This window comes from Homo sapiens, chromosome 16 (genome assembly GCF_000001405.40).
Source record: "Homo sapiens chromosome 16, GRCh38.p14 Primary Assembly".
NCBI classification, from domain to species: domain Eukaryota; kingdom Metazoa; phylum Chordata; class Mammalia; order Primates; family Hominidae; genus Homo; species Homo sapiens.
The window spans coordinates 57,253,671-57,274,915 of NC_000016.10; the positions used below are offsets into that span (position 1 = coordinate 57,253,671).

Consider the following 21,245-nt stretch of genomic DNA (forward strand, 5'->3'; position numbering starts at 1 on the left):
TAAGGTTATTAATTATTGCTTTGGTCTTTTTTTTTTTTTTTTAAATGCCACCTCTCCTGGGCTTGCTTTCCCTTGCTTTGTCTATAAATGGGAGGTCCACCACAGCCCAGGCATGCTGGGAGCACTTGCTAAGACCTGTGGACCAGCCTGCCTACTTGAGAAAAGGCCAGTGGACAAGTCCAGAGATTAAATGATGAAAAAACGATGATAAAGGCAAATTGGTTTTTCACCCTTTTTTTTTTCTTTTTTTTTTGGGAATGGAGTTTTGCTTTTGTTGCCCAGGCTGGAGTGCAATGGCACGATCTCGGCACACTGCAACCTCCACCTCCCGAGTTCCAGTGATTCTGCTGCCTCAGCCTCCCAAGCAGCCGGGATTATAGGTGTCCACAAACACGCCCAGCTAATTTTTGTATTTTTAGTAGAGACAGGGTTTCACCATGTTGGTCAGGCTGGTCTTGAACTCCTGACTTCAGGTGATCACCCACCTCCCAAAGTGCTGGGATCACAGGTGTGAGCCACCATGCCTGGCTGGTTTTTTCACCCTTTCTGCTCAGCAAAAAGGAGGCAAGTCTGTTGTCACTTAATATTATAAGTAGACATTCTGATTTCTTTTAAAATAAACTAGCAGCCTGTCTCTCCATCCTCAGACACTTAGACTGTGATGTCAGGTGCCACCTTTGATGGGGCTCCCACCTGCCCTGGGGTGAGGAAGCCCCAGTCCTCTTGCTTAGGACTCCTCCCCAGTGGGAAGCAGTAGTCACACAAACTGCTGAGCCTTAGCATTGACTGAATGCCTTTAATGTCCCCCCTGAAACAGGCTTTTGATTCATGTTGGAAACATAAGAGGGGTGAGCTCTCTAACTTGCCTGGGATTTTGTTTTACATTTAAGTGTATTGCCCTTCCTTAAAACCAAACTCTTATAACTTACTCCTGGAAGGACTAATTTATTATTCAAACTCCGAGACTTTAGAGTAAAAAGTGATGCTATTAATATTTATACCAGGGCCAAGTGTGGTGGTTCATGCCGATAATCTCAGCGCTTTGGGAGGCTGAGATGGGAGGATCACTTGAAGCTGGGAGTTTAAGACCAGCCTAAGCAATATAGCGAGACCCAATGTCTACAAAAAATTTAAAAATCAGCCGGGCACAGTGGCTCACGCTGGTAATCCCAGCACTTTGGGAGGCCGAGACGGGCGGATCACGAGGTCAGGAGATCGAGACCATCCTGGCTAACACGGTGAAACCCCGTCTCTACTAAAAATACAAAACATTAGCCAGGCATGGTGGCACGCACCTGTAGTCCGTTACTCGGGAGGCTGAGGCAGGAGAATCGCTTGAATCTGGGAGGCAGAGGTTGCAGTGAGCCGAGATCACGCCACTGCAGTCCAGCCTGGGTGACAAAGTGAGACTCCATCTCAAAAAAAAAAAAAAACAAAAATTAGCTGGGCATGGTGGCCTGCACTTGTAGTCCAAGCTACTGAGGAAGCTGAGGTGGGAGGATTGCTTGAGCCTGGGCAGTCAAGGCTGCAGTGAGCTGTAGTTGTGGCACTGTACTCCAACCTGGGCAAGAGAGCAAGACCCTGTCTCTTAAAAAAAAAAAAAATCGGCCAGGTGTGGTGGCTCACACCTGTAATCCCAGCACTTTGGGAGGCTAAGGCAGGCGGATCATGAAGTCAGGAGATCAAGACCATCCTGGCTAACATGGTGAAACCCCATCTCTACTAAAAATACAAAAAATCAGCTGGGCGTGGTGGCGCTCACCTGTAGTCTCAGCTACTCAGGAGGCTGAGGCAGGAGAATTGCTTGAACCCAGAAGGCGGAGATTGCAGTGAGCCAAGATTGCGCCATTGCACTCCAGCCTGGGCACTAGAGCAAGACTCGGTCTCCAAAAAATAAAAATAAAAAATAACAAAAGGGTACAGAGGGTACCTAGAAATGCTTTTACCTTATTGTTCAGAGAACGTTGTTCTGTGGTGTTGGAAAAATAAGCTCAGGAGTACTCAGCTGCTTTCCTCTGCTGTCTCTACCAGCTCTGAGCAGGCAGCATGGCCAGCCACCTTGATTATATGACCTCCAAGCTTCACAGACTTTCAAGGTAGATGATATTGTTGAAATCTTTGATTCAGTAAGCTCACCTAACCTGCCCAAAGCAAGGGTGACTAAGTTATTGTCAAACTGAGTCACTTGTGAGAATAAAAGGCCGTGCTATTCTATTTATGCCAGCACAAACAGCATAAACCAGGACTGTTCCAGACCCAGCAAGCAGGAAGTATAGGCAGCCTTCCTCCGGTCAAAGAGTTCGCAGGTGGTGCTGAACGACTCCAGAACGTGAACTGCCCTACAGCAGGCATCTTCTACAGTCAAGCTGAGGTCTCCTGGAGGTTACAAGCACCTGTAAAAGTGATTTGCCAACATCTTGTCCAAATAATTTCTCTCATCTTTATTTTTATTAAAAAAAATAAAACAGTCACCACCAACCACATGACAACTCGCCAGGCAAGGCCTTGCTTCCCTCCCTCCTTTGCGTCCCATGTGCCTAGTCAGCAAGGTCGGGGAGGCACCGATGTTAGCTTCGCCCAAAGGGAGTATTACAGAGAGAGGCTTGGGAAAGGGAAGGAAACCTGGACAGGCTTTTCAGCACTGAGAAATCACTTAAAACTGATTTGCTTTCAGTAACTGGTATGTCTGAAATGCAGGGAGGGAAGACCATGCTGTCAGCAATCAACCCACTTTTTACAGGTTGGCTCCAGGGAGAGGTTGGTTGAAACGGTGTTTAAAGGAAGGAGAGTGGTTTCACCAGCTTGCTCAGCTCTCCTGGAACAAAGACTAAGGTGCTACGTGTTGCTTGTTAGGCTTATACTACGGCGGGTCTGGGGCTGCAGGTCTGGAGTCCTTGTTAGTGCATTTAGTGCTGGTGAGAAGGGTGGGCCCCAGTCTTGGACGCTGAAGTCCTCTAAAGACAAGGCAGAGACACAGCCTCAGATCCCCCGTCATCTTCCACTGAATAAGGGGGATGGAGAAGAGGTCTCAGCAGTTGGCCTCCTGCAAGCCGAGATGCCTGCCAGCCTGGGCCTGCTTCCTTAGCGCTGTGAGAGCTTATGTCTGACGGGCAGAGAGGAGCAAATGCAGTCCCTGTTGGGCTGACTCCACGCAGGGCTCCCCAGCTTCAGGCTTGCAGGGTGACCCTGCTCTGTGACCCAGCGGCGGCTTCAGCCCCAGAGGGGGCCGTGGCACAGGTGGTTTAGGCATAGCCGCCAGCCATCTGACTGGTGGCCGCATTGCTGCCTACTCCTCGCCAGGCCTGGTAGCTGAAGAAGGCACTCACTCCATAGGCGATCATCACCAAACACGCAAAGAACTGAAAGAGAGGTGAGAAGGGCTTAAGGACCGAGAGGGTGACAGTGACACAAGCTCCAACCAGATCTCAGGCCAGGCAGGAGGGGTTGTGGCAGCCGCACCATCTCACACTTAGCCAGATGCATTTCACAGCTGTTTATCATGGGGCTGATGAGCACCAGGGTCCTGGGATACCAACATTACCTTCTAACCATGGGAAACAGCTAAGAACCACAGGCAGGGCCTGTCAGATTGTGATAAGGGCAATGAAGGAGAAGATAAGAGTGACAGAGGGGACACCTAGCAAGGATTTAGTTCTAAAAAGACAACATTCAAAGGACACCCTAGGAATCTCCTAGAACCAGTTCAAGCCTCTATACTAACACCTGCAGCCACATTCAGAAGCTCCCCGTCTCTGTCCCCATCACTGAATTTGCTGATTTCAAAACTGCCCTCATCAGGAAGAGTAAGGAACCAAATGCGTGCCCATTGAGGCCCTGCCCTCCCCTGGGCTTGGCCGTGGCTCCAGGCCTGGCGTCCAACTTCTCTGAGCAGGAGCCTCCTGTCTGTCAAAAGGAACTGGTAGTCCCTTCCTCTCCCTCACTGTGGGTGTCGCAGGATCCTGGGAGGAGATGGTGTGCAGGGCCTGGTGGTGTGAAGGGTGACAGGCGTGGAGGGGACTACTGCCACTTCACTGGCCACCTGACGTGGGCCCAGAGTTTGGGTTTCATGGGAGAGCCTATGAATCTCCCAGAATGGTTTAAACCAAAAGGTTTTTGCACGTGCACTTGTCAGTGGGAGAGCATGTTTTTCACATTCTCCAAGGGGGCACGTGACCCTAAGGCAGTGTGGCACAGCTGATTTACAACAAGGTTCAATAGTCAGCCCAGGCCGCGTGTGGCAGCTCACACCTGTAATCTCAGCACTTTAACAGGCCAAGGCGAGTGGATCACCTGAGGTCAGGAGTTCAAAAGACCAGCCTGGCCAACATGGTGAAACTCCGTCTCTACTAAAAATACAAAAATTAGCCAGGCGTGAGACTCCATCTCCAAAAAAAATACAAAATACAAAAAAATTAGCGGGTGTGGCAGCACACACCTCTAGTCCCAGCTACTTGGGAGGCTGAGTCAGGAGAATCACTTAAACCCAAGAGGCAGAGGTTGCAGTGAGCTGAGATCACGTCACCGCACTCCAGCCTGGGCAACAGAGCAAGATTCCATCTCAAAAAAAAGAAAAAATAGTTAACCCAAAACTTCCATTGCCCACCACACACCACTCTCCACTGTTAATTATGGAAGCCTGGAGGCGGCCCGGCTCCCCTCTAAGACCCACTGAGTGTTCAGGTGACAACCCCTCAGGAGGTGGCAGGTGCCTGGCCTCAGACCAAGCGAGCAGCCTGAGTCCTGGGGCTGAGACCCTGCAGACCACCAAGGGAGCCTGGGAAGCAGACTCACCGAGGCAGCCGCGCGCTGGTTATAAGGCCGGGTGCCCCTCAGGGATGTCAGGTCAACTGCCGCAGAGCAGGCGATGAAGGCGGTGATGTAGAGAACGGTGGCGCTGATGTTAAAGATCATTAACTGCAGGACATGGGGGTAGGGAGTGGGGAGAGAAAAGGCTTAAGACACAAAGAGAGGCCAGACACGGTGGTTCACACCTGTAATCCCAGCACTTTGCGGGGCTGAAGTGGAAGGATCGCTTGAGCCCAGGAGTTAGAGACCAGCCTGGGGAACATAGGTAGGCCCCATCTCTACAAAAATAAAAAAGTTAGCCAGGCATGGTGGCGCATGCCTGTGATCTCAGCTACTTGGGAGGCTGAGATGGGAAGATCACCTGGAGCCGGGAGGTTGAGGCTGCAGTGAGTCATGATCACACCACTGCACTCCAGCCTGGGTGACACAGTGAGATCCTGTCTCAAAAAAAAAAAAAAAAAAAAAAAAAAAGACAAGACCAACGGTTGGGGCTTCTTGGTTCCCACTGGCACACTCCTTGAATAGCCATTGGATGGTGATGCAAACACCTGGGTCTTTCCCACCAACAGGGCCTCAAGAGGCCACAGTTTCCAGGGAGTCAGCCCATGAGGCCCTGGTCCCCAGGAGGCCTGCTGAGCAGGGAGCATGAACACACCTGAGGCTGGAGGAGGGGAATGACAGGAGGGCCTCAGTGATGGGGTAGTGGCAGTGCCAGACCCATTCCTCACAGAAAGAGCCCAATCCATGACCCATCTCTTTGTACCAGCTAAAGAAACACAGGCTACTCCTCCAAGTGTGGTCCAGGGCCAAGCCCAGGCCATCCCTGGTACCACTGCAAGGTTTGGCTCTGTGGCCAGTCCTGGGCTGGGCCTCACATCCCTCTCTGCCTTCAGGGGGAAGAATTTTTGTCTCCCTCTTGGCCACATCCTAAGCTCAAGGCTCTAAGCAAATGCCAGGGTCAGGACCAAGAGGACCAGATATTTCAAGCTGGATATGGAACCAGACTGGCAGGAAGGGGCCCTCTGCTGACAACCAGGGACCAGTCCCTCATCCCAAACGCTTGGCCCCAGGAGCCCATTCACCGTCTTCAAACGCCTGGTCCTCAAACATTCATTCAGTTCGTCCAATATACTTTTAAAAAATTACCAACATTATAAAATTAGATTTCATGAAAACCTGAAGACTTCATGTAAAAATTTTATATTAAAAAAATCTTGGCCGGGTGCAGTGTGGCTCATGCCTGTAATCCCAGCACTTTGGGATGCCGAGGCAGGCAGATCACTTGAGGTCAGAAGTTAGAGACCAGCCTGGCCAACATGGTGAAACCTCGTCTCCAATAAAAATACAAAAATTAGCCAAGAGTGATGGTGCCCACCGGTAATCCCAGCTACACAGGAGGCTGAGGCGGAAGAATCACTTGAACCTGGGAGGCAGGGGTTGCAATGAGCTAAGATCGTGCCACTGCACTCCAGCCTGGGCAACAGAGCGGGACTTTGTCTAAAAAAAAAAAAAAAAAAACTTAGGATATCAAAAGATTTCGCTCCAAAGGGGCTGCATTCCCACTAGGAACAGATGAAGTGAGTATAGAGGCAGCTTGCGATGGGCAGATGGATGCTGGCTTCTCCAGGGTCCCTCCTGACCCAATTTACTCACATATCTTGCCTGGATCCTGTAGGGGTCTGTAGCCCCCATGCCAGAAAATCCCAAATTGGCCATGCTAATCCAGCCTTCTCTAGATGCAGTTAAGCCCTCTCTGCCCCATTCGTTGAGGGTCCAGAAGCACAAGAAGCAATGTCCTGCCACTGTGGCAGAAGGGAGCCTCCTTCCATTAACAGCCACGGCTGGAGCCCCAAATCTGCACCTAAGAGACACACAGGCTTTTATCTCTGGAGATTTCTCTCTTAGAGGTCCCTGGGACGTGAGGGAGGGGGTGGACCCTGAGCCCGGAAGTCAAGGCACCGCCTCCTCGCCCCAAAATCTTCCCTGCAAGCCCAGCGACCCCTGCAAACGCTGCCTGTTTCTGCCAGGGATGTCGAGATCTAACAAACCCATTCTGTCTTGAGGATGACTCACGTTTCCTCGGTTTAAAAAGTCATTGAATTCCAAACAATGCCGCCTAGTCCCAGCCTTGCTTGTCTTACAATCATGTGCCTTTCTCGCCTCTCTTCTCACTGAAAGCCTCAGACCCCAGCTGCAGGGGTTTTCCGGGTCAGAGGAAAAAAAAAACCAGCAGCTTTCTGTGTGTCTGGCCGGGGTACTTCCCATGTCCGCTCTCAGCCCTGTGTCCTGGGGAGACTGTCCTGGGGCAAACCTGGGGAGCCCAGCCTCTCCCAGGCCTCAGGGCCTCACCTGCAGGCAGCCAGGTGCCCGAGCTTGTCCTGCACACTTGAGGCCCTGGCCTGGGCAACTTCTGACAGCTTGCCACAGCCTCCAGCCACAGGGCTGCCTACCTGGGCCAAGCTACAATCTCACAAACTCACACAACACAGGCACAAATTCTGACCACCCCCAGAGGGAAATTTTTTTTTTGAGGTGGAGTCTTGCTCTGTCACCCAGGCTGGAGTATAATGGTGTGATCTCGGCTCACTGCAATCTCCGCCTCCTGGGTTCAAGCAATTCTCCTGTCTCAGCCTCCCAAGTAGCTGGGACTAGAGGCGCGCGCCACCACACCTGGCTAATTGTTGTATTTTGCTAATTGTTGTATTTTTTGTAGAGACAGGGTTTCACCATATTGGTCAGGCTGGTCTCAAACTCCTGACCTCAGGTGATCCACTCACCTCAGCCTCCCAAAGTGCTGGGATTACAGGCGTGAGCCACCACACCCGGCCGGGAAAAATATTTTTAAGATTCCAAATGGCCTCTTACAAATCCACTCAACAGCCCCTCACTTCTACTCCCCTCCTGGGACAAAGTCAAGCCTGTGTCCTTCCTGGCTCATGGTTCCCCAAAAAACCGTGCACCTAGGCATGGTGGCTCACTCCTGTACTCCCAGAATTTTGGGAGGCCAAAGTGAGAGAACTGCTTGAGCCCAGGAGTTCAAGACCAGCCTGGGAAATAAAGTGAGACTCCTCTTCTACAAAAAATAAAAATAAAAATTAGCAGGGCATGGTGGCACGTGCCTGTAGTCCTAGCTACTGGGGAGGCTGAGATGGGAGGATCACATGAGCCCAGGGGTTCAAGGCTGCAGTGAGCCATTATTGAGCCACTGCACTCCAGCCTGCACATAGTGAGACACTGTCTTGAAGGAAAAATAGAAAAACTGGACCTCTGAACCATCAATCCTCACCTCCACCCCTGGCTCTGCAGATCAGCTTAGGTCAGTGAGGATGTCAGGCCACCCCCCCACACCCTGCCACTTCTTCTAGGGAAAGTCACAGTGGTCCTGTCATAGCCACTTCCAGTACCCCCACCCAGACTCACCACCAGTGGCCAGGGAACCATGTACAACTTCATGTGCAGCTGAAACAGGTAGAGGTTGAAGAGGACGATTGTCACCAGCCAGAGGAAGACAGCGACGAACATCACCCAGCCATAGGCCGGATACAGGTGGTACGGGGTGTCCGCAATCAGCGCCCACACCAGCAGCCCCAGCACCTAGGAGGGTCAGACAAGGCAGGATTGGCCAGAGATGCGGTTTCATTTCTTATCTAGCTAAGAAATACTGGCCAGGCACAGTGGCTCATGCCTGTAATGTCAGCACTTTGGGAGCCCAAGGTGTAATAATCGCTGGAGGCCAGGAGTTCAAGACCAGCCTGGGCAACAGAGCAAGTCCCCATCTCTACAGAAAAATTAAGGCCGGGCGCAGTGGCTCACGTCTGTAATCCCAGCACTTTGGGAGGCTGAGGTAGGCAGATCACCTGAGGTCAGGAGTTCGAGACCAGCCTGGCCAACATGGTGAAACCCTGTCTCCACTAAAAATACAAAAATTAGCCAGGCATGGTGGCGTGTGCCTGTAATCCCAGCTACTTGGGAGGCTGAGGCAGGAGAATTGCTTGAATCTGGGAGGCAGAGGTTGCAGTGAGCTGAGATCACGCCACTGCACTCCAGCCTGGGAGACAAAAGTGAAAATCCGTCTCAAAAAGCAAAAATAATAATAATAATAATAATAGTTAGCCAGGTATGGTGGTGCGCACCTGTGGTCCCAGCTACTCATGAGGCTGAAGCAGGAGGATCACATGGGCCCAGGAGTTAAAAGCTGCAGTGAGCTATGATCATGCCACTGCATGCCAACCTCAGAGACAGAGTGAAATTGTCTCAAAAAATAGAAAAAAATTTAAAAAGGAATGCTGACTTGGCTCGTGTGATACACCACTGTACCGGGGCCCTGCCCTGCACTCTCACTCCTCTTGCAGGTCTCAGCTGAGATGTCAGGTGCTCCAGGACACCCCCACGCCTCCAGCCGGCATCCCAGAGCCCTCATCAGTGCTCACAGGGCCCCCCAGGCACCCACCATCCAGGGCCATAATCGTTCCCTTCCCCAGACTGCGAGCTCCACGAGGGCACAGCCGTGGCTGTCTCACAGCTACGTCCCCACACCCAGCACAGGCCCTAGGCCCTGCCAGGGGCTCAGTAAAAGCTGCTGAAAGGAAGATCAAGTCACCACAGTCCCAGAGGCGGGAAGACAACAGCCCTGTGTCCTCCCTCCCAGCTGGGCCCAGCAGAGAACGTCACAAGGGCCTCTGGGTGACCTCCTGCCCAACACCCCACGTCTCCGGCTCTCCCAGATGCCCTTCTATACAGGTGTTGCCATCTCACAGGTGAAACTGGGCCTCCAGGAAGCCAAGGGGCCTACCTGTCAGGCTGTTCCCACACGGCAGGATGGGCCTGACCATCCCAGCAGAGCATGGGTAGTGGCTAACAGCATGAACTCTGGAGCCCAGCTGTCTGGCTTCGATCCCGGCTCTCCTTACCGGCTGTGTGGCCGTGGGCAAGTGTATAACCACCCTTGCTTATCATATAATGACCATTCCTATCTTGTAGAGCTACTGTGAGGACCCACAAGTTCATGCACATAAATGATTGCAGCAGAAGTGTTTTTTTATTATTCCACAAGCCCGAACTGGACTGCACAGGCCCCAGCCCTCACAGCCACAGAGAATTCTCTGCGGCAGGTTTGTCGACTCACTATGCAGACTGTCTCAGGGTGCAGGCCAGCAAAGGGCCAGCTGAGGCAGGGCCCAGGGAGCTCGTGGAGGCCCCCAGAGGCACCTCGGATGTGGCCATCCTGGGCCTCCCCAGCCCCTCCTACCCCCACCCACCCCTTGCTGGTGGAGATGCTCTGGAGAGCGCCTTCTCCACGAGGGCACTCTCTGGAATCCCTGGCCACGGAGAGGACACGAGGGTCTAGCTTTGGAGAAAGGCTCCATTGCCAATCAAGACACACAGAGGTGTCCTCTTTTTCCCCTGGTCAGCGCCCAGGTACATGGCACCAAGGCTGCGTAGTGACCTTGCCACCAGCCCAAGGACAAGTCAGTGGGATCAGAGAAGCGGCTCCGGAGCAGGACCTGCCTCTGGCTGCTAGGGTTTGGAGACAGAAAGTCCTGGCTGCTCCCAGCAGCTGAGGGGCTGCCGCCAGCCCCTAGAGCACCTGAGGGCCTGGGCCTAGAGCACAGACAGAGCTGGGGTGCCTGCCAGGCACCCCATCCAAAAGCAACCTCGTCGAGGACCAGAAGGGAAGCTCCTGTGTGGATCCCTACAGAAGCCAGGGACAAGACTCGGGGGCCTGTAGCTGAGCTGGCCCAGGGAGCCCTCAGCCCTCACAACCCTCCTTCCTCGGCCTACTCCCCATCCCCCAGGGATCTGGCTTGGGAAGGGTATGGCCCAGTGGGGAAGTGGCAGGTGGGGCCTCGAGCTTGGAAGTCAAAAGCTGTGTGGCTGTGTGATGCTGACCGAGTACCTTCCCTGCTCTCCGAGGAAGATTCTGGGTTTTGTTCACTGCTGTATCTTCAGTGCCCAACAGTGCCCGACACATAATATACGCTAAATACACAATGTGCTTAGGAACTAACAATCCTATTTCTTCAACCATGACAGAGACCAGAACCCTGCCCTGCACAGGCACCGTGTATTAAAAGAGGAAGCAGTGGGGCTGGGCGTGGTGGCTTATGCCTGTAATCCTAGCATTTGGGGAGGCCAAGGTGGGAGGATTGCCTGAGCCCAGGCGTTCAAGACCCCATCCTGGGCAATATACAGGGAGCCCATCTCTGCCAAATACTTTAAAAATTAGCCGAGTGTGGTGATGGTGCACCTGTGGTCCCAGCTACTTGGGAGGCTGAGTGGGGAGGATCGCTTGAACCTGGGAGGTTGAGGCTACAGTGAGCCATGACTGTGCCACTGTACTCCAGCCTGAGCAACAGCAAGACCCTGTCTCAAAATAAACGAAAATAAATAAAATTAAAATTAAGTAAAGTTAAAATTAAATTAACAAAATAAATTAATAAGAAGCAGGTGTCCATCTGTGAACTGCCCCTGGCCTTGCCTCCCCCCAACCCAAGTAAGGGGCTCAGCCCAAAGTGGGAGGCCCAGGGAAGGTGTCCCGCTCTCCAGGGCTCAGCACCTGCTCCTCCCCACACTGGGGTGAAGCTCCAGGGATCCACCCCCCAACACACAGCACCCTGCCAGCCTCTGCTGCCCGTCAGCACTCTCACCGCCGCAAGCAGGCCAGGTGAGGGTAGGCAGGTGAGGAAGCCAGGGCGGAGCCACAGGGCCTTGCCCGCTGTCACACACCAAGCTGGGGGCAGAGCCCTTACGAGTGTGGACCCAGGGCAGGATGTCTCAGAACAACACCCTGCCAGAAACAGACACACCTGGAGAGGCCACGAACCCCCAGAGCTGGGGGGAGGCCAGTGTTCTGAAGGAGAACAAACACTTCGGGCAGCACGCCTCCGTCCCTTCTCCAGGTGAGAACTGGGTGCGTCCAAGATAAACAATTATTTTTTCATTTAAAGCCAATTCCTCATGGGCCTCCGCTGCCACTGTGTTGCCAGCTTCCAACTAACTAAAGGAAAGTCAGAAAATGCAATGAACCAAAAATCAAGAAAAGACCAATTCAGGTTTCCACTATCATATGCCTATCAATCACCTGTCCCATGACTCACAGCCTAGGTCACAATAACCACTCAATGCCTTCTCGCTCTGTGCCAGACACATCTCATTGATTCCTCCATCACCAGACCCTCCTCAAATGTTCTATCTGTTATTCCCATCTTCCAAAGGGAATCTCAGGAGGCAATGTGCCTGAGGTCACTGTGGGTAAAGGACAGGGCAGGAGGCCGGGTGCAGTGGCTCACACCTGTAATCCCAGCACTTTGGGAGGCTGAGGCAGGTGGATCACTTGAGCTCAGGAGTTCGAAACCAGCCTGGACAATATGGAAAACCCCATCTCTACCAAAAATATAACATTTAGCTGGGCATAGTAGCATGTGCCTGTGGTCGCAGATACTTGGGAAGCTGAGGTGGAGGATCAATGGAGCCTGGGAAGTCAAGGCTGCAGTGAGTCATGATGGCGCCACTGCACTCCAGCCTAGGTGACAGAGACCCTGTCTCAAAAAATAAATAAAAATTTTAAAAGGATAGGGAAGGACAGGAACCCAGATCCGTGCTTCCTTGGAACCTGCGCTACTATGAGTTATTTAGTGAAGTGTAAAAAATGAGGACACTTCAGCTGGCTCTAGGAGCCAGTCTGGGCTGGGCACCCAGGCTCCCCCCACTGCCCGCCGCCATCCCTGCCCCGCCCTGTGCTGTGCTCCAGCCCCACCCCTGGTTTCCAGATCAGCGAACACAGCGTCCAGATGAAGCCGGTGGATAAGGACTGGGAATTTCTGGCGTTCTTTCTGGCTGTGCTGCCTGGCTCTGTGCCTGCGGAGCTGCCTCGGTTTCTGCCCTAGAACAAGGAAGGTTCGTTCCTGCATTTGAACCAGACAGACTGGTTTCTCCTGGTTCCTGAGCCCCCAGCCCAGTCCCCCAAGAGAGACCCTGCTCGGAACAGGGCACCCAACACAGGCCTCGCTGTGGGCATCTCTCTGGGTTAATATATTTAACAAATGTCTATGGAGAAGGGGCCAAGAAAGATCTCACTGGCAAGGTGATGATAAGCAAAGACCCAGGGAGGTGAGGGAGGGGCAGGGAGGGTGCCACGTGGGTATCTGAGAACAGAACTCTATGCCTTCACCCCTGGGCCCTGCAGGTCTCTCTTGCTTACATGTTCGTCTGTCCCCGTGTTTCTCTGGAGGTGTCTACATGAATATCTAACTGTCTCTCTCCTACACACACAGGCAAACCACATCCTCCCCTCCTTCCCAGCTCTCTGAGGTCCCTGCCATGCCTCCCCAGACAGGTCCTGCAGATAAACAAAGGGAACTGTCTGGAAATCTCAAGGGCACAGGGCCTTTTTTTTTTTTTTTTTTTTTGCTTTTCTGAAAACCTGAATAATTTGGATTAGGAACTTTTTTTTACATATGAAGACTACAGTGTCAAAAACGACCTTTGCATCTTCAAAGAATTTCCAAACAATTGGGTAACGAAGAGATGTTTTTGTTAAAACCACCTGTGGCATCAGAGAGAAGATTCGTCACAAATGCCCAACCAAGAGGCACTCCTTGCTGCAGTGAAACCCTGTTATTACAGTTTCCCCAGAAGCTGCCAACACTGACAGCCAGACAGGCCAGGTTCCTGCAGGGTGCATGCCCTTCACTGACTCTGAGGGAAGTTTTTCCTCATCTCTTATTGTGGTTTGCAATGTGTTCCCCAAAATATGTTCAAGTTCTAACCCCTAGTACCTGGGAATGTGGCCTTATTTGAAAACAGGCTCTGGCCAGGCGCAGTGGCTCATACCTGTATTCCCAGCACTTTGGGAGCCTGAGGTGCATGATCAGTTAAGGACAGGAGTTTAAGACCAGCTTGGCCAATATGGAGAAACCCATCTCCAGTAAAAATACAAAAATTAGCCGGGCATGGTGGTGGGTGTCTGTAGTCCCAGCTACTCAGGAAGCTGAGGCAGAAGAATCACTTTGAACTCAGGAGGCAGAGGTTGCAGTGAACTGAGATTGCACCACTGCACTCCAGCCTGGGGGACAGAGTGGGACTCTGTCTCAGAAACAAAACAAAACAAAACAAAACAAGGCCTGGCATGGTGGATCATACCTGTAATCCCAGCACTTTGGGAGGCTGAGGCAGGTGGATCACCTAAGGTCAGGAGTTCAAGACCAGCCTGGCCAACGTGGTGAAACCCTGCCTCTACTAAAAATACAAAAAATTAGCCAGGCATGGTGGCATGTGCCTGTAATCCCAGCTACTTGGGAGAGGCAGGAGAATCGCTTGAACCTAGGAGACAGAGGTTGCAGTGAGCCGAGATCGCACCACTGCACTCCAGCCTGGGCAACAAGAGCGAAACTCCGTCTCAAAAAAAAAAAAAAAAGAAAGAAAGAAAGAAAAGAAAAGAAAATAGTGTTTGCAGACATGCTCGAGTTAAGGGGGGTTATACTGGATTGGGGGCATCTCTAATCCAATGACTGGTGTCCTTGCAAGAGAAATGTGGACACAGAGACCACAAGGGGAGACCATCGTGTGAAGACAGAGGCAGAGACGAGAGTGATGCATTTGTAAGCCAAGGCACACCAAGGCTTGCTGGTCACCACCAGAAGCCAGGAGGGGGACATGGGACAGACTCTCCCTCAGAGCCCCAGAAGAAAGCAACCCTGCCAACACTTTGATTTCAGTAACTGAGACAATATATTTCTGCCACCCAGTTTGTGGAACTTTGTTACGGCAGCCCCAGGAAATGAATAGGTTTTTCTCAGCTGCTCTCTGAATCTGTGGATGGGTGTCATGACCTTGTTCACCTGAGTGACACTGGCATTGGTTCTGTTGGAGGGGTGGCCTATCGACTCCTTGAATTCACGCTCTGGCCCTGCCAACTTAACTAGCTGTGTGACCTCAGGCAAGTGGCTTAGCCTCTCTGTGCCCTTGTCTTCATCTTCCTTCATCTTTGAAATGTATCTACCCCCTAGGGTGGTTTTGTTTTGTTTTGTTTTTGAGACAGGGTCTCACTTTGTCACCCAGGCTGGAGTGCAATGGCACTATTGCAGCTCACTGCAGCCTCGAACTCCTGGGCTCAAGTGATCCTCCCACCTCAGCCTCCCAAGTAGCTGGGACTACAGACATGCACCACCACTCCTAGCTATTTTTAATTTTTGTAGAGGTGGGGTCTCCCCATGTTGCCCAGGCTAGTCTAGAACTCCTAGGCTTAACTGATCCTCCTGCCTGGGCCCTAGGGTAGTTTTGAGCAAGGAACTTAGACCAGCAACCAGCATAGGCTTAATATTCAACATGGCCAGGTGTCATGATCACCCTGAGGGGTTAAGAACATGGGTTTTCAAGTCAGGCCCTGGGCCTACTTTCCTGCATTCGCCACGGTGTGTGAGGCTCCTCAGGAGGGTGAGGCCTCACTGAGAGAATGACAGTATCCACATTCAAGCACCAGGCACAGCCCAGGCAGAGATAAGGACCCACGTCAGTGCCAGCCCCACCCACCTGACAGATAAGGCGGTGGTGCTCCCACAGGAGGCCCCAGAAATCCAGCCCAGCCCTCAGATCTCCCTTGGAGCTGCACTCCCTCAGCTCCTCATAGGCTGAGGGGCCTTGGGCAGACCCCTTCACCCCCTGGCACAATGGAAGCAGGGAGGTTTGGCTTGCTGTTCTCTGAGATTTCCCGCAGAGGTCAACACTCCTGAACATGGGCCTCCTCCAGGGGCCCCAAAGGGAGGGGTTTGACCAACCCTATGGACTCTGAGCTGTCATGCAAAGATGGTCACCCCAACTCTTTTCACCCTCCTCACTTCCGGGGCAGCATCAGACCTTTGTGGGCTCACTGTGTGGCCTTGGGGGAGTCACCCAACCTTTCTGGTCTGTTTCCTCATCTGGCAAGTGAGGAAATTGGGGTACAGGGACCCTAGGGGGACACCTGCTCACCTCACAGGTGTGTCATGGAGATGAAACCATGTGAAAGAAAACATTAAAAGCCATAGCAGTCGTGAGCAGTCGTGAAGGCTATGAGACAGTCCGGGGCTGGGGGAGGGAAATCCCAGAGAGGGACGCCACGAGGCAGGAAGGCAGCCGGGGCCTAGAGGACACCAGGGCTCAAGCTCAGCAGCTGCCAGGGCTGGCAGGTCACAGGAATGACTACAGTGGGCCGGGGAGTCTCTGGAGTGGCTGCTGGGAATGCAGGCCTGGGGTGACCAAAGTTTCTAATTTTTCAAGAGACACTAGAAGTCTGGATTTTATATGGAAATCAGCTATTTATTTATTTATCTGATGGAGTCTCGCTTTGTTGCCCAGGCTGGAGTGCAGTGGCGCAATCTCGGCTCACTGCAACCTCTGCCTCCTGGGTTCAAGTCATTCTCCTGCCTCAGACTCCCAAATAGCTGGGATTACAGGTGCGTGCCACCACCATGCCCGGCTAATTTTTGTATTTTTGGTATAGACAGGGTTTCACCATGTTGCCCGGGCTGGTCTCAAACTCCTGACCTCAGATGATCCACCTGCCTTGGCCTCCCACAGTGCTGGCATTACAGGCGTGAGCCACTGCACCTGGCAAAAATCAGCTTTTTAAACATGGGTGACTGAACCAAAGGTTTTTAGAAACAACGTAACGGCCAAAGGGGCCAAGGCAGCAAATCCTTCCATGGCCCCCGAGTCCAAACACAGTCCCCGAGTCTATCCACAACCCCCTTTTCCAGCCCCCAAGTCCTTTACTGGCCCCTGAGTCATTCCCCAGCCCCCGAGTCCATCCCCAGCCCCCGAGTCCATCTCCAGCCCCCGAGTCCTTCCCCAGCCCCTGAGTCCATCCACAGCCCCCAAGTCCTTCCACAGCCCCCGAGTCCTTCCCCTGCCCCCAAGTCCATCCATGGCCCCTGAGTGCTTCCCAGGTCCCCGAGTCCTTCCCCAGCTCCGGCCTCTCTATTCCCACTGCTCCATCCAGGAAAACCACGCCCAGCATGGCAAAGCAAACCCTTCCTGGGGTCCCCCTCACTGGGGACACATCTGGGCAAGCCAAGGACACTCAGAACTCAGCCTGGCCAGGCTCGGTCCCCACCCCCGCTCTGGCCCTTCTCCCTACAGTGAAAGGGACTTTATGGGGACAAAAAGCCACCCATTGTATCACACGAGACAAAGGGGCAGGGGACAGAGGCTCCGGGCGCCTAAGCTGGCCACGACACAGCCACACACCACCCCCTGACTGTGTGAGAGGGAGGGCACCTTGGAATTCCCATGCCATGCATTCCAGCATTCGAGGATCCTGGAGTCATCCCCGCTCTCCAGGAAGGCGACAGCAGACTCGGAACCCAGCCCCAGATCCACTAGACCTGGGCAGTACTGAATAGCCCTAAGCTCTCTTTTCTCGTCGGAAAAATGGGCATGTAAGTTGCCAAACGGAGTCATTCAGTCATTAAACAAACTGTGCCAGGCGCTATTCTATGCCCTGGGAACACAGTGGGGAGCTTGGCAGCGAGGGTCGCCACCCCAGGCCACAGCCACCCCACCCCCACCTCCCGCGTGGACCCTGCTTCCTGGGGCTATGGCAGGAGGACGATGCTGGAGGTGGGGGCTCAGACCTGGTCCTCCTCCAAGGCGTTCATTGTATCGCTTGTTATTCCTGAGTCCTGGGTCTCAGAGCAGAGAGCATTTCAATGCCAAACGCAGAAGAAGTTGCAGCACACCTACCCCAGTGGCTGAGCTGAGCCGCCCCTGGACCCCCAGCAAGGTCCTGCAGCCCCCACGTGTACTTGCAGCCAAGGAGCCACTACCACCTCATCCTTGCTGTGAGGAGCCACTACCACCTTATCCTTGCTGTGAGGTCCCCGCTTAGGGCTTTAGAAAAGTCTTCCCACCCGGGCACGATGGCTCACACCTGTAATTCCAGCACTTTGGGAGGTCAAGGCAGGTGGATCACCTGAGGTCAGGCGTTCCAGACCAGCTTGGCCAACATGGTGAAACCCCGCCTCTAATAAAAATACAAAAAGTTAGCTGGGCGTGGTGGTGGGCACCTGTAATCCCAGCTACTCGGGAGGCTGAGGCAAGAGAATTGCTTGAACCTGGAAGGCAGAGGTTACAGTGAGCCAAGATGGCACCATTGCACTCCAGCCTGGGCAATAAGAGCAAAACTCTGTCTCAAAAATAAAAAAAGAAAAAAAAAAGAAAAGTCTTCCCAACCTGAACTGAAACTACCCCTACTTAATCCCTCCCCGTTCCCATCCTGCCCTCTGGTCAGATCAAGCAGGTCCTCCCTCCACAGGCCGCCCCCAGGTGTGTGAAGGCGGGTAGGGGCCTCTTCAGTGACACTCCAAGGCCCTCTCTGGCTCTCAGAGCAGGTGGCAGCACTCGCAGGTGGGATCTCAGAAACTCAGAGCTCCCTGCCTGCCAGTCCCCTCCTCTGCTTCCTCCCTCCTTCCCAGGGTCTCCTAGGCCTACCCCACAAAGCCTACCCAAGCCTCCCCAGCACCCAGGCCCCTCCAACCACACAGAGCATTCCCAGGAAGGCCTTACCCTCCTTGTGAAGTCCCAGGTGGAGCCCTGCATTCATTCCCTCCAACTCCTGCCCCCGCAACTACCCTGCCAGGCCCCCGCCAGGGCTTTACCCCCAGGGCCTTCCTCCTTCTGGGCCCAACCCTCTCAAGGGAAACACTTGACCCATTCCACTGATGAGGAAAACCGAGGCTCTTGGAAGATCTGGACCTGAACCAAGGTCATGCCTGGTAAGGGTTGGGACCTGGATAGTTCTGTGGCCCAGGCTCCCCTTCCCCTGTCACCCAGGATGTGGGGACATTCCCCTGGAGACTACTTTATTTGAAGAGAGCATCACTGCTCTTGAAGCCAGAGCTGAGAGGGGGCAGTGGCAGAACTCGAACCCAAGGCAGCTGGGATAACAAGAAGCTTATAGTCTCAGCACCCCAAGGCCACCTCATCCTTCCATCGGCCCCTCCAGAGAAAGAACCAGCTGCTGTTGGAAGTATATAGAGCCTCATCAGTCCCGTGCACCCTGGCCTCGGCCTGCTGGAGGAATTGGGGTGCTAAAGTGAGTGTCTTCCTCTCTCCCTGGACTTCCGGCAACACTGGTTCTACACCCAATGCTGGCACTGATGTTCTGGGTGACCTTGAGCAAGACTTGTCTGTCTCAACTTCAAGGAGGGGCCCATTGGCAGAGCACAGTGGCTCATACCTGCAATCCCAGCACTTTGGGAGGCCAAGGTAGGAGGAACGCTTGAGCCCAGGAATTTGAGACCAGCCTGGGCAACATAAGCAAGATCCCCATCTCTACAAAAAAACAAAAACAAAATTAGCCAGGCATGGGGTGCATGCCTGTGGTCCCAGCTACTTGGGAGGCTGAGGCGGGAGGATCATGTGAGCCCAGGAGGTCAAGGCTGCAGTAAGCCATGATCACACTACTGCACTCCAGCCTGAGTGACAGAGTGAGACCCTGTCTCAAAAAAAAGTTGGGGGTGGGGGTCCAGGCGCGGTGGCTCACACCTATAATCCCAGCACTTTGGGAGGCCGGGCGGGTGGATCATGAGGTCAGGAGATCGAGACCATCCTGGCTAACATGGTGAAACCCCGTCTCTACTAAAAAAATACAAAAAATTAGCCGGGCACGGTGGCAGGTGCCTGTAATCCCAGCTACTGGGGAGGCTGAGGCAGGTGAATGGTGTGAACTCGGGAGGCGGAGCTTGCAGTGAGCCGAGATCATGCCACTGCACTCCAGCCTGGGGGACAGAGCAAGACTCCATCTCAAAAAAAAAAAAGTTGGGGGGGCAATGCTCCCATCCTGCCACCCTCACACAGAGTGGCAGATGTGAAAAAGCTCATCTGGTGTCTGACCCCAGCCCCAAATAAAAGCTAGAACATCCCAGAACAGGCCTGTGTCTGTTCCCTAGCAGCTCAGGATTTGGGCCCTGACTGACCTTTGACCTGTCTCCCTGCCTGCAACTCCCTGTGAGACCCTGGGGTACCACCCTGGCCTCTCCCCACTGGACAAACAGGAGAGACCAACCCAGCCCAACAGCAAAGGGCCTGGGCCTGGCTTTTGTCACAATCAGGGCTCAGCCCACTGGGCTGCCAAGAAAGACAGCACCCCCACCACCCAGGTTCCCAATTACCATGGAGACCTGGGCAAACAACAGCCATGGGGATCTGTCAGATAATCTCTGAATGGGAAATCAGGGTCCTAGTCCTCACCGAATTCTGCCACAAACAACTCACTGGCTGATAAGGAGTGACCAATGCCTGTCCCTGCCAGGTCAACAGCAACAGCAACAGCCTGGGAGACTTTATCCCAGTACCCTGTTCTCCTTCCACTCATAGATGGTTGGGAAAATCACCCAAGGTCCCTCAGCCATAACACTGAACTCAAGGCTATTGCTCCCTGCTGTGTGATCCTGGGGAAAGTGCCTTTCTCTCTCTGGGCCTGAGGACATTCAAGTGCCACCTTCATAGCTTTTGCCATATCCACGAACGTGTACTATTTTTTATTTTTTTGGCAATAGGGTCTCACTCTGTTGCCCAGGCTGGACTGTAGTGGCGTGATGACAGCTCACTGCAGCCTTGAACTCCTAGGCTCAAGCAATCCTCCCACCTCACCCTCCCAAGAGCTGGGACAGGCGCACACAACCATACCTGGCTAATTTTTAAATTTGTATAGAGACAAGGTCTAGCTCTGTTGCCCAGGCTGGTCTCGAACTCCTAGGCTCAAGTGATCCTCCTGCTTCAGCTTCCCAAAGTGCTGGCATTACAGGTGTGAGCCACCACACCTGGCCCTATTTTTTTCTTTACTCAATATTTTCATTTATTTCAAAGTTTTAAATGTGATTTTATCTTATCTTTGAAAGATGTAATATATATGACATGATAGGTATCCAAATAGCATATTCAGCATCCTGTCTTCCATTTGATACTCAACTTCTGGAGGCAACCAAGAGTGTGGTTTTGTTTTTGTTTTTGTTTTGAGACAGAATCTTGCTCTGTCACCCAGGCTGGAGTGCAGTTGCACAATCTTGGCTCACTGCAACCTCTGCCTCCGGGGTTCAAGCGATTCTCATGCCTCAGCCTCCCGAGTAGTTGGGACTACATGTACGCACCACCATGCCAGGCTATTTTTTGTCTTTTTAGTGGAGATGAGGTCTCACCATGTTGGCCAGGCTGGTCTCGAGCTCCTGACCTCAGGCGATCTGCCTGCCTCGGCCTCCCAAAATGCTGGGATTACAGGTGTGAGCCACTGTGCCTGGATCAAGAGTAGTTTATTGTTTATTTTTTTGAGATGGAGTCTTGCTCTGTCACCCAGGCTGGAGTGCAGTGATGCGATCTTGTCTCACTGCAAGCTCCGCCTCCCGGGTTCACACCATTCTCCTGCCTCAGCCTCCCGAGTAGCTGGGACTACAGGCGCCCGCCAC

At 53.0% G+C, this 21,245-nt stretch overlaps 1 protein-coding gene across 1 annotated transcript in view, besides 10 other annotated features; it reads right to left on the bottom strand.

Annotated features, from left to right (window-relative positions):
• PLLP (plasmolipin) overlaps positions 2,427–21,245 on the bottom strand; it is a 28,576-nt gene continuing 9,757 nt past the window's right edge. Inside the window, exons 2-4 of the mRNA NM_015993.3 lie at positions 8,227–8,400; positions 4,792–4,914; positions 2,427–3,359 (exon numbers count right to left, since the gene is read on the bottom strand). Of these exons, the coding sequence (NP_057077.1) occupies positions 3,243–3,359; positions 4,792–4,914; positions 8,227–8,400 (414 nt within the window). The 3' untranslated portion in view covers positions 2,427–3,242. The remainder of the gene's footprint in view (positions 3,360–4,791; positions 4,915–8,226; positions 8,401–21,245) is intronic.
• Positions 4,568–4,780: a silencer, noted in NCBI's record as "fragment chr16:57292150-57292362 (GRCh37/hg19 assembly coordinates)". NCBI's record gives its function as "represses an EF-1alpha promoter that drives an FKBP-Casp9 reporter gene in an ReSE screen in K562 erythroleukemia cells {active_cell/tissue: K562}" and the evidence as "EXISTENCE:reporter gene assay evidence [ECO:0000049][PMID:32094911]".
• Positions 5,393–5,948: an enhancer, noted in NCBI's record as "H3K4me1 hESC enhancer chr16:57292975-57293530 (GRCh37/hg19 assembly coordinates)". NCBI's record gives its function as "activates a minimal SCP1, AML or CMV promoter by ChIP-STARR-seq in naive H9 embryonic stem cells {active_cell/tissue: H9 hESC(naive)}" and the evidence as "EXISTENCE:reporter gene assay evidence [ECO:0000049][PMID:30033119]".
• Positions 6,992–7,131: an enhancer, noted in NCBI's record as "active region_10886". NCBI's record gives its function as "activates an Ori minimal core promoter by ATAC-STARR-seq in GM12878 lymphoblastoid cells {active_cell/tissue: GM12878}" and the evidence as "EXISTENCE:reporter gene assay evidence [ECO:0000049][PMID:35858748]".
• Positions 7,142–7,201: an enhancer, noted in NCBI's record as "active region_10887". NCBI's record gives its function as "activates an Ori minimal core promoter by ATAC-STARR-seq in GM12878 lymphoblastoid cells {active_cell/tissue: GM12878}" and the evidence as "EXISTENCE:reporter gene assay evidence [ECO:0000049][PMID:35858748]".
• Positions 7,613–8,168: an enhancer, noted in NCBI's record as "H3K27ac-H3K4me1 hESC enhancer chr16:57295195-57295750 (GRCh37/hg19 assembly coordinates)". NCBI's record gives its function as "activates a minimal SCP1, AML or CMV promoter by ChIP-STARR-seq in naive H9 embryonic stem cells {active_cell/tissue: H9 hESC(naive)}" and the evidence as "EXISTENCE:reporter gene assay evidence [ECO:0000049][PMID:30033119]".
• Positions 8,169–8,722: an enhancer, noted in NCBI's record as "H3K27ac hESC enhancer chr16:57295751-57296304 (GRCh37/hg19 assembly coordinates)". NCBI's record gives its function as "activates a minimal SCP1, AML or CMV promoter by ChIP-STARR-seq in naive H9 embryonic stem cells {active_cell/tissue: H9 hESC(naive)}" and the evidence as "EXISTENCE:reporter gene assay evidence [ECO:0000049][PMID:30033119]".
• Positions 8,944–9,714: an enhancer, noted in NCBI's record as "H3K27ac-H3K4me1 hESC enhancer chr16:57296526-57297296 (GRCh37/hg19 assembly coordinates)". NCBI's record gives its function as "activates a minimal SCP1, AML or CMV promoter by ChIP-STARR-seq in naive H9 embryonic stem cells {active_cell/tissue: H9 hESC(naive)}" and the evidence as "EXISTENCE:reporter gene assay evidence [ECO:0000049][PMID:30033119]".
• Positions 8,944–10,484: a biological region, named in NCBI's record as "H3K27ac-H3K4me1 hESC enhancers GRCh37_chr16:57296526-57297296 and GRCh37_chr16:57297297-57298066".
• Positions 9,645–9,814: an enhancer, noted in NCBI's record as "experimental_43612 CRE fragment used in MPRA reporter constructs". NCBI's record gives its function as "activates a minimal promoter by MPRAs in K562 erythroleukemia cells, with activity observed for the non-introgressed 16:57297312 variant allele {active_cell/tissue: K562}" and the evidence as "EXISTENCE:reporter gene assay evidence [ECO:0000049][PMID:34662402]".
• Positions 9,715–10,484: an enhancer, noted in NCBI's record as "H3K27ac-H3K4me1 hESC enhancer chr16:57297297-57298066 (GRCh37/hg19 assembly coordinates)". NCBI's record gives its function as "activates a minimal SCP1, AML or CMV promoter by ChIP-STARR-seq in naive H9 embryonic stem cells {active_cell/tissue: H9 hESC(naive)}" and the evidence as "EXISTENCE:reporter gene assay evidence [ECO:0000049][PMID:30033119]".